Consider the following 12,607-nt stretch of genomic DNA (forward strand, 5'->3'; position numbering starts at 1 on the left):
GAAAAGAATGTTTAATCCTTGATTTAAACTAGGTTTTTGAGTACATTTTGCTGCATATATATATATATAAGCAGCAATATCATTTTAAAATCATAAATCTGTAATCTTATGATAAATGACTGCTATTTTGCTTTAAAAATTGATATTTTGACAGACTCAAACATTCGTTAATGTTATTAATCTATTTTGTGTTCTTTTTGCATTTTTCTATTTTTTATGAATAAATATTGTTGTCCCTGTATACCTTTGGGCATTACTACCTCTAGTTCTTTCAATGATTCTATTCATATTTCCCACTAGTTTTCTTAATTACATTCAGTGAACAGTACTAAGCTGAATACTTAAAAGAGAACCCCCTCACATGGCCAGAGTTTCCTCTGTTCAGCTTCCTAATTTCTAGTACTTTCCGTGTGAGCTCCAGGCACCTCTTAGCATTGACTCCACTGCTTCTCCTCTGCTCAGGGTTTCCATGGGCTTTGCCTATTTTCCCACACTCTGCAGCATGGCCAGAAGCTCTTTCATAGCAGTAAACTGGAGCAAACTTATGGCTTCTATCAGCTTTTTCCGACTTCTTAGGGATCACGAGTTTTCATTTCTTGATATCTAGTGTCTGGAAAACCATTTTTCTATGTATTTCATCTATTTTGGTTTGGTTCAAGTAGGAGAATAATTTCCAATCCCTGTTAGGTGCATCTTTTACTGAATCTGAACAATTAAGGTTTTTTTTTAATGTTTAAGCCCAATATCTTCCTAAGTAGAAGTAGACTAAAATATGTTGTCTGTTAGAAGGAATGTTTATATTTTATAAAATTTTCATGTCAGATTTTATGAGAATAGTTTACTGTTTTGTGCTGGAAAATTTAGCAATCAATATATGAATTATAATTTTATTGAGTCAAAAAACTATGTTACAAAAAATGTCAAAGTGATAAAGATGTTTATAATGTGAATGGTATTCTTATTTTTTGCTATTCAAAAATAATGATCAAATGATACTCAGGAATAACAGTGAAATAAATATACACACAATTTTATTTAAATTTTTTACATTATTTGAATAACATATTTAAATTTAATTTTTTAATCTTCTTTCTCTTACAAAAACATTTTAACATTCTATTTTGTCTTTGATGAGAAGACATGTGTCTCATGACATTTGACTTGCTTTACTAAACCAAGACTCAAAATTTTTTGTTTTAAACTTTCAATAATTGAATTCTCATTGTTAGAATATTAAAATAAAGCTATATGTGTACTATATATGGAATTTTGTATGTTACCTAGACAGAAGACAAGCAAAATTTTTATGGTTTTTACGAAAAATCATTTCACTGAGCTTATTCAGTTATAATTTAAGTTTTGTTAACCTGAAATTTTAACTAATACTGTCTTTGACATTACAGATTAGTCCAAAATAAAAAGGAGCAAATATTGAGTTAATTAATGAAAGAAATATGAAAAATTCTGACTTTTTTTTTCCAAAGGAGCAAAAGAAAAACTTCAGTCAGTGCCAATTATTCCACAGGTTTTCAATCCACTAATGATTTTTTATCTTAAGATACTACCTTTAACTATGTTTAACATTTGTAATTATCTTGTGAGTGGTAAGGGAAGAAAATAAATTGTTAAGATTTTTTATATTCTAAAACACGTTTCTAAAATGTATTAATAGCACAAGATAATATGCTAATAATTTCATAGACATTATATGACTCAATAGCCACAATATAATGATAGTATTATTGAAATCTGTTAGGACAACAAAATAGGAATAATTCAGAGAAGGGATGGCCTTCCTTGATAACTCTAATCTGTAAGCCAGTAAATTAATTGTGTGAAGGTAGCACTTTAATGAGCTGGCAGTTTCACATGATAAATAAGGAAAGTGGCAATATTACCAAAGTATGAATATTGTGCTAGTTGCCACGTTAGTATTCAAAAAGGTGATTAGAATAGTTGCACTACATGCTGTATTAAATATGCTCTGAATTAAATAAAGGCTCTAATTACATCTTTTGAAATTCTTTAATGGTTTTTAAAAATTTAAACCGTGTTTTAAGTACTTATTGACCTTGATAATTTATTTTCTGACAAGTCATTTAAACCTACTAATGTTTACTTAAACTTAGCATTAAAAGAGTCCCTTTCGGCCAGGTGCCCTGGCTCACGCCTGTAATCCTAGCACTTTGGGAGGCCAGGGGGCGGATCACCTGAGGTCAGGAGTTTGAGACCAGCCTGGCCAACATGGTGAAACCCCGTCTCTACGAAAAATACAAAAGTTAGCCAGGCATGTGGTGCGCGCCTGTAATCTCAGCTACCTGCGAGGCTGAGGCAGGAGAATCGCTGGAACCTGGGAAGTAGAGGCTGCAGTGAGCTGAGATCGCGCCACTGCACTACAGCCTGGGCAACAGCGTGAAACTTCGTCTCAAAAAAATAAAAAATAAATAAAAATGAAAAAAAAGTCCATTTATTATCTGATACCCAAAACCGTGGTCACTCTGGGAATGTGGAAATGTTAACACATTTGGCAAATATATTGATATAATTTGATTACTGCCCAAGGCACAAAACAGAAACAGCCCAAGAGGTGCAAGATACAGGAGAAATGGATCATAATTAGAAGAGAAGCCGCTGAAAATCAGGGTGATGTCATCCAAGCAGAGAAAAAGAATAGAATAAAGATGGGTAGTGAGTAAAAAAGGAGAGTGGCAGCTGGTGAGAGAGCAAGCACCAGAAATAAAGAAATAACTACAGTTAATCCCTTGAGTAAGAATAATATCCAAATATGAAAAAAAAACTTGATAAGTGAATATGTTCTAACTAATATTGTGAAATGGAAATCAAAAACATCTGATAAATTATTTATATGGTAAAATGTTATAGTAAAGTGCTATGGTGGAAAGGAATAACAATACTTTTTAAGACACTGTTACAGTGAAAGAAACCTAATATATATTTTTTTTAAATAAAGCAAACAAGAGGCCGGACGTGGTGGCTCATGTCTGTATTCCTAGTACTTTGGGAGGCCAAGGCAGACGGACTGGTTGAGGTCAGGAGTTCAAGACCAGCCTGGCCAACATGGTGAAACCCTGTCTCTACTAAAAATACAAAAAATTAGCCTAGCATGGTGGCCCACGTCTGTAGAACTAACTACTGAGGAGGCTGAGGCAGGAGAATTGCTTGAACAGGGAGGTGGAGGTTGCAGTGAGCTGAGATACATACATATATATTAAACACATTATGAGAGTTATTCCTACCTAGTTTAGTCCAATGAGAGTAAGATATCTATTGAATATAGAAATTCATTTAAACAATAAGAAAACTGCCTAACCTCCAGAAATTTAAAGAGGAGTGGGTCATATCTAAAATCATTATATTTACATTTATGGTAGCTAAAACCAAATGTGAATACAATTATTAATTACACGTATTTTGACTTTTCTTAGTTCTTATAATTTTCTGTGGATAAGTAAAATTTAATACCACTTTTAGTTCAACAAACTGTATGCTAACTCATAATACTTGAGGGGAGTTTAATGACCAACAGAAATGTGGTCTCATTTAAATACTGATTATATTAATCTTAATACATGCTACACTATCTTATGAAAACTAAATGGGGCTGGGCGCAGTGGTTCTCTTCTGAGAACCAAATTTTCTACTTCAGGACTCCAAATTTTCTATTTTTTTACAGGATTTATACTTTGATATAAACTTTATGAACTCTGGTATTTAACTTTTGAATTACTTAATTTTAGTTGAGTTTATTGTAGTTTAGTTTACTATAAAATTAGAGGAGGTCATACAGAAGAAACAAATTATGTTTTGTTTTTGTTTTTTCTGTATGACCTCCTCTAATTTTATAGATAAACTAAGCTCATTTACACGTATTGAAAAACCAGAACAGATTGTGTCTCAGTTCTGTCATTTTATATTATGATTTATATTTTACACACACAAAGCATTTTAAAACAAGCTCTGTTCTCTTCACCTTTTGAATGTTTTGTATCAGTAGTATTCGTTCTTGTCTAACAGTTCCTTTGCCTACATATCATTATATAGTATACTTAGAACCGTCTTTCTTTAGATACTATTTATGTTGGTTCTCTATACTAAATAATCATAAAATAAGCTTATATTCTTTGTTTTTCTCCATGTCTTCTAGTTATTTGCAACTTGATTTTGTTCATGACATTATTTTTATTTTATGTTTGTGTACTCCTTAGATACACTCAATTAGAATGATTTTTCCATGTAAATCACATCTGATTCCCAGCTTTTACAGAATAGAATCATAAGCTTATTACTCCTTTTGACTTTTCTCCATTTTCTTCTCCTGTTTTTAGATGTATTATTTTCTAAATTGTCAGAATTTATCATTTATATTTTCTTTTTTTCACACTTACCCTCATCAAAGTATTTTAAAAATTACTTATATTCAACGTTATGTCCAATATATTGCTGAAAATGTCATCTTTGGTGGTTTCAGTTTGCCTTTTGCTAGTTTTTGTGAGATCTTGCATATCTACACACTTTATGGTAGAGTGGAAGTAAGATGATAGACAAGTAATACAGATGTTGTTAAGTAAAACTACAGAGTCCTGAATTTAAATTGGATATGTCACCAAAAGAGTCAAACATGTCAATAAATGAGTCAAAATTCCTTTATTGGAAATTTAACTTTTTGTGACATTATTAAATCTAATTTGCTTTTTTTTTTTTTTTTTTTTTTTTTTTGAGGCAGAGTTTCACTCCTGTCACCCAGCCTGGAGTGCAATGGTGTGGTGTCGGCTCACTGTAACATCCACCTCCCGGGTTCAAGCGATTCTCCTGTCTCAGCCTATCCAGTAGCTGGGATTACAGGCGCCACCACCACGTCCGGCTAGTTTTTGTATTTTTAGTACAGATGGGGTTTCACTATGTTGGCCAGGCTGATCTTGAACTCCTGACCTCAGGTGATCCACCTGCCTTGGCCTCCCAAAGTGCTGGGATTACAGGCGTGAGCCACCTCACTCGGGCCCGAATTTGCTTTTTAATGTTATTTTTCTGACAGCTTTTCTTCACATATGGGAAGATTTGAGACTCTCTTGTACATTTTCTTACCTGTTTTCATGATATTTTGTGACTATTTAGAATTATGCAACTGGATTTTTCTTGGCCATGTTTAAACAGAAGATTTCTAGGGGAAGGAGAAGGACCAGGAGAGTTGTATAGGTTTCAATGCTCCAGGGCTCTTCCTGTAATTTCTAAAGGGACAGGCAATTTTATTAAAATATTTTTGCCTCTCAAAACACAATTAGTTAAGGAGTTTCTACAGCCATCTCTGAGCTCCAAAATTTCCTTCGCCCAAAGCTTCTCTTATAAGGCAGAACTCCTGCTTAGTAAATTCTGCCCTCCTTTGTGGGAGGTAGTAGTTTAGTGGGACTTGTATGTGTGTGTGTGTGTGTGTGTGTGTGTGTATGTGTGTATTTCTTAGATTTAGCACGTTTGTGCTTCACACTCTACTCCCACCAGTTAGTTTCTTGCTCTATTTATCTGCTCTCTATTTAAAAGTAGTCAAGATAGAACTTTGTCCTGTTTGCAAATTTGCCCACTCAGAGTGGTTATGGCTGGTAGATTTCTGCCATTGATTGCTAGGCCTTCTCCATTTTCCCAGCTATTCACTGTTGTATGGCCACAGCATTGTCTTCCCATGAATGCTCTGATATTGCCAACTGCTTTACTCCACAGCTTTATGTAATTTGGGGTCTGAAAAGTTTTGCTTTCTACTATTTTATTGAAATGTTTATGTTCTGACATTTTTCTCCTGGTTATTCTTTATGATTTCAAGCATATAAAAAGTGAGAAAATTTGGATCTAAGCTCTAGTAGCCATGTTTTCACTTGTATATGGATGATTTAGTAACAATAACAGAAACTAACAATAGTCCAATGAAAAGTAATGAATGAAAGTAAATTTAAAAGCTTTCAAGAGCAATAAATATATTGGATGGATGAAGATTTGAAGCCCAAATGAAGTTAAAACAATATCTTACGTTTCAAGAAAATTAGCACAACTTAACTTTTATTTCTGTTGAGATATCTTTTACTTTGCCTGAAGACAAGCATTCAGAATTCTATATAGTACCAAGTTAAATTATTGTTGTGGGGATAATTGTTTAATGTTAGTAGCCATTATTAGAAATTTAGCTTTAAGAAAGCAGTGGCTCTTTCTCCCTACCTGCCTCTTTATTTCTCTTTCTTTCTTCATCTCCTTCTTCCTTCCTTTCTTCATTTGTTTTCCTTTTTTTCTTTTTGTTAAATAACATTTCTCCAGCACTAATGTGTTGTTTTAATTGTAAATACATGATGCATAAAAATGTGAAATTTAGTGCAACATCTCACATTTGCAGGATTCCAAGCTATGCACTACTTTTGCAGTCTTTGAATTATGCCTAATTACCTTCCCCACTTCAGGGTCTTTGAACATGCTATTCCTTTTGTTGGAGGTTTTCTGCAAAATATACAAGGTATACTCTTTTTCAGCCTTCAGGCATTCACTTCTGTTACACTTCTCCATAGAGCTATTTACTGACTATTCTTTACAAATACAAATTTCCTGGTCCCTTGTAAGTCTATCCAACACATTATCTCCAAGCTTAGCAGAATGTTTCACACACACTTGGGTGGCCAATATATACTTATTGATTATACTCATCAGCAATAAATCTCATTATTGATGTTGGAAAAATTATTCATAAAGTCACTGGAATTGCAAAAACAAGGCAATCAAATGACAGAAATATACTATAGATGTATAGTTATCTTTAGGTATGCATATTATAAATGGTGTCATGGTAAATTTTGTGTGGATATAACAAAATACCACAGACTGGGTAATTTATATTCAATATAAATTTATTTGGCTCATGGTTCTGGAGGCTGGAAAGTCTAAGTGCATGCACTGGCATCTGGCAAGGACCTTCATGCTGTCATTCCTGGTGGAAGGTGGAAGGGCAAGTGACTCTGTTAGACAGAGTGACAAAAGGGGTTTGAACTTATCCATTTTATAAGGAATCCAATCCCAAGATAACAAATTCACTCCCAATATAGTTAACCCACTCCCCAAATAGCAGCATTAATTCATTCATGGAGGCAGAGCCCTCATGACCTAATCACCTCTTAAGGGTCCTGCCTCCCAACACTGTTACAATGGCAATTACAATTCAACATGAGTTTTGGATGAGACGTTCAAACCATAGGAAATGATAAGATATTGCCATTTTTGGCAATATATGTAGCATTTCTACTTTAATATTTTAATTACTTTTACTGTAGAAATTACTCACAATACATGTCCTGAGTTAAATTTTAGCAAAGTAAAGTGAAGGTTATATACTAGATTTATATATTTCATAAATGTAGTCTTTAGTGTTTTTATATGTGATTTACTAAGAAGAATATGAGTAATGTGAGTAACATCATTACTCACATTATTTAATCAATAAAACACTTAAAAATAAAAGGTAAATGCAAATTCATATTACACTCCACAATTTATTTAGTAATTTATTCAGAGTTTGTAAATTTTTATGGAAAATAACTCAGAAAATAAATAAAAAGAAGCTGATTCAATAAGAAATATTTTCTTTATGAAATAATTTTCTATGTTTTTATTATTATGTAAAATGATTTTAGTAATATCAATTTTAACAAAAAACCAACTTGGAAAAATATATTAAAAGTTATAATAATTGCAAGAATTATTTATAATCTCTAACAGGTTAAATTTAATGCATCATTATGACTTAAAACAGAAATGTTGCTAAGCAGGTAGTTTATCACAAAATATATGCAATAAAGTATCAAAAAAGGAATGCAATTGGGAGGATTAAGCTGAATTTCAGAATAAATTTATTGAGTTTTTGTCCTTAATGTTGTTACCAGCTTCTTTTTTAATGGGACTAGCTCACTGATAATGTGAAAATAAAATGTGAATGATAAATACATGAATCCAGAGATTAAAATCTGCACGTTAGTTCAAATGAAAAAGAATTTCAGCCAAAATGTCCAAGGGACTCTAAATTCCATGATAAAGTAAACAACATGCTTCAGGACTTAAGAAAATAGAAAAATCCTAAGGGTGTAAGCATTCAAGTATTTGGCCCTTTATTCACATGGTCTGCTATTACAATCGGCCAGTAATCTAGGAGTCTGCTCCCAGCCCACTCACATCTAAACCTCTCAGAGGGAAATCCTTTTGTCCCAGATAATGTAAGTGTGTATGGCAGTGGCTAGAAACAAATTCTCTAAAGAAAATTTTTCTTTTGACATTTAGATCATTTCATTATTTCCTTCAGAATGTATTTGTGTGAATGCTATGAAATGATTTACTGTTTTTTTTCTCTATGAATAACCAATTCTAACACTTTGGAATGGTATACTCTTTATTCACTAATTTGGCCTGACAATTTCATCTATATATGTTCTATAGATTATGGGCTTTGTTTCATCACTCTCTATCTAATAGATATAGATATAGATCAATGCCATATTCTCTGATTTACTATAGCATTATAATAAGCCTCAGTATCTGACAGAATAATTTTTCTACACAGTTATTTTTTTCTGAAATTCATTTTTGTTATTATTAATCTTTGCTTTTCCAAATAAGCTTTTAAATAAATTTGTTAATTTTCTTAAAAAATTAGATCAGAGTTACAATTGGAATTGCATAAGCTTATAGCTAAATTTGGAGAATATTTATGAAATAATTTATTCTTAAATACATTAAGAAGAAATTATATATTTATTCATTTTCATTATATTTTAGTAGCATTTTATAATTGTCCTCACAAAGATCCTACCTATTTTTTACTACACTCATCTTAGTTATGTTATCATTTTCTTACTGGTACAAAAGGTTGTTTAAATATAATTTCTTCTTACAATTTATTGCTAGTATGTGAAGTGCAATCAATTTTCTTATTTAAACCCTATATCTAGAAAATCTAATACATTTCAAATTCTAATCCACTTAGTTTTTTCTCATTTTTTAAATGTACACTTTAGTGTTAGCTGTGAATACTAATGATTTTTCTTCTCCACTATTTTTTTTTCTCAACTCAATATGCTGGTGAGGATTTTGAGGGTGGTCCTCTATGTTATGGCTTAAAAGTACAAGTAGAGTGTTCCCCATACTGCCTAGTTGTGTAGATACTTGGTTCACAGCCTTGCCTCTTAAACTCAAGAACATATTTTATATTACAGGGAAATCCTAGAGCTATCTGAGCTTCAAAAACTAGAAGAAACCTGGCTTCTCTGAATGTTTTGCTAAAATTAATCAATCGGACAATTTCCCAGGGGCCTTTCTTGGCCCTTGTATCAGTTGATCCCAGCTTGTCCCCCACATCCAAAATTATTCTTAACCCTACAGATGTCCCATCCTAATGTTTTTAAACTAGAACATTTTTTCCAGTTGACTTCCCTGGAGATTGCATTCAATTACAAATGCTTAAAAAATAATCTAAATTTCATGCTTTTTCAATGGTACTTTTCCTATTGGGTACTATCACTACCCACTTTACTATCAGTTTAGAGCATTATGTCTGAGAGGAGATGTAGTTTATGATTTTCATTCTTCCATAGTGAATCAGTTCTCAAATAGTGTTCCTAAAAACCACCGAAGTATAGTACTCAATCTATAAGCTTAAAATAGACTATACTGACAGAGATAATAATTGGCAAGGTAATAAACGCAATCTGAAATTCTGCAACCGTTGTGACTAAACGTTGCCACCTGAAACATATTTTAACAAATATACAATTTGAGCCTGAAAAATGTTTTTGGGTATTTTTAGTACCTTAGTAGTTACCAAAAATGTTGAATTATTAATAATTCTAACTTTTATTGAGGAATTACTAGATGCTTAGCACTTTTCTAAACATGTTAAATATATTATCTAATTTAGTTCTCACAAAAACATTAAAATGCAAATACAATGATTCTCATTTTTAAGCTGACTAAAATGAAGAACAAGTTGCTCCATAATTCGTCAAGCTGCCTCATTTATTTCACTGTTCTCATTTTCCTCAAGGTGCAGTGGCTTGCCAAGAGAACCGTCAGTGCCTCCATGGTCACACTGGCAAGAAACCTCTCCTGTGCCCTAAGATTGGGATTGGGCAAAATTAATTACAAAATAATTTAGGATTGGTGAGCATAGCAATGTGAAGTTCCTCAAATATGCCTTGATAAGTAAACGTTTTATAAAAAGCAAGACTTTTTCCAGGCATGCAGTCTCTTTTTCTGATAGAACGGTTGCACAGATAAGACATTTTCTTCTATGAATAAATTGTTTTCAGGAATTTTCTGAGGTTAAACAATGAATTTATCTACTGTTTTTCAACATTATCCTCAGGCACAAGAATTTCCCAGAACAATTGTTCAAGTCACCTTAACATAGTGGTCTTAGTGTTGAGTCCTGATAGTAAACCTATGTGGATGCAGGTGGTCTTAATTATCAACTCCAACTCTAGGATACTCAGCATAAGATGCTTAAGTCCCATATACATTTATTTAACTATAATATTTCTATAAATCCAGATGTATTATGAAAATTTCCCATCCATGTTAATTTTTTATGTAAATTATATTCCTGTCAAAAATTGCCACGCAATTCAATTGTATGCTTGAACGTTGAAAATGAAGTTCCCAGAAGCTTTTAATTGTTATCTTATACAGAGGCTCACCCTTGATATAAACTCCCATTACTTAAATGACTTTGACTTTTATTTTATTTGCAAATTCTATTGCTAAATGGGGTTAAGGAAATGTCAGTACTGATACAGATGATTTATTCTATAACTTTGAAGCAAGAAATAGTGAATGGCATTTTGGAATATTATACACAAGAAAGAGCCTATGAAAATGTAGTGATTCAAAATTCTTCCAGCAATAATAACATACCATAAGAGTGAGAGAATATCAACCAAAGCAATGCTAAGTTTAAACCTTTAATCTAAAATGATGCAGCATGAGAATAACTCTGAGGGATGTTTTTCCTTGGGGAAAGGAAGATAACTTTTTATAGAGCTTTAACAGCAAAAGTCCAGATGGTTTTACGAATAGTTGGACCAAAACACTTCTCAGAAGAAGAAGGAATTTTCCTTGTAGTTTAGCAGGTGCTGTTGGGCAATTTTTGCTTAGCAAGAGGACTGGAGATGAAGAATTTGATGTTACATTTATGTAAGGCCCACAGTGGAAAATGTTTCTCAGTATGTATCACATGGAACTTTCATTAAAATAATAATAAGAAATAATTACATATGTCTCTGTAAACTCTAAAGTGTTTTAAAATTAAAATTATAATATTTAAAGAAGCATGTTTAGCTTCCAGATAACTGACTAGAGGCATCTAGTACTAACTTCCTCCACAAAGAAGAACCAAAATAGTGAGTAGATAATCACACTTTGAATAGATCATCTAAGAGAGACATGAATTCAACAGAGAAGGGCCAGGAAACACCTAAAACAAGAAAGGAAAGGGAAGTAAGGCAGCCTGCTTAGCTAGAGTCAGCTGGTTCCCCAAAGCAGGCAAAAGGCAAGTGAGAGACCCCCAGTGGTCGGCATTCCCACTGAGGACTCCTGCAAATCTACCCATGGGAAAGTCCCTTGATCCTTACAGGCTCTGAGACTAACACACGGAGCTGCCTGGAAACAAGGATGTGGTGTAACTCCAGAAAGGAAGCTCACAATGTGTCACACATGACTTGAAGACCTAAGCAGTTACAGTAGAGTGCCATTTTGAGAGCCCAGACCCACCAGACTCCATCCACCCCTGGAGTCCCACAACTCTTGTATCTCCACATTCCTGGAGCCCATTGACATCCTCCACCCAGAGCCACTGCCATGACTGGCAGCTGCCACCAGGGCCAAAGTGAGTTGCCACCCATTTATGAGTGCCCTCAGGACAGGCTATCCTGCCCACAGCTGCCATCTGGTGCAAAAGTGTACTCTCCTTGGCCACTTGCCTACTGCTACTAGCATTGAAAGCAACCCTGCCCTCCCCAGTAGCAGGGCTGTAGCATAGCTGCTGCTGGCCCACCCAATCATTCTGTCAGGGGAATGGGGATTTTCCTGCCCCCCATTACCACAACCAACACCTGCACACACCAATGGGGAACCTGAGGACAGATCCACCTGGCCCAGCTCTGCAACCCCTTCAGTGCCCAAGTATGCCATCGAGAGCCTGGGAATTACCCAGCCCCATCCACCAACATTGGCGCCTGAGAACTCCTTTCAGGGGCCTGAGACAAGACCCACACAACCTGCCACTAAACCACTGCTGGCAGCCATCCACATGTGCCACGTGCAGGCCTGTGGACTGACCCACCAGCCTGGTCATGGTCACTGCCAACGTTAGCCTGAAGTACTTGGGAGTTAGAAGCTTGTCCTGCCAGTGCTACTGCCATCATTCATGTCATATCCACCACCCAGGGGCCAAAAAACCCATCCACTTGCCCAGCTCATTGCTGCCACTATCAACACCCTGCCTGGAGGCTCATAAAATGGCCTAACTGAACATTGGTGCCAGGATATGCCACCCTGGGCCCCAAGGACAGGCACACTT

The sequence above is a fragment of the Homo sapiens genome, chromosome 6 (genome assembly GCF_000001405.40).
Source record: "Homo sapiens chromosome 6, GRCh38.p14 Primary Assembly".
Lineage (NCBI taxonomy): Eukaryota > Metazoa > Chordata > Mammalia > Primates > Hominidae > Homo > Homo sapiens.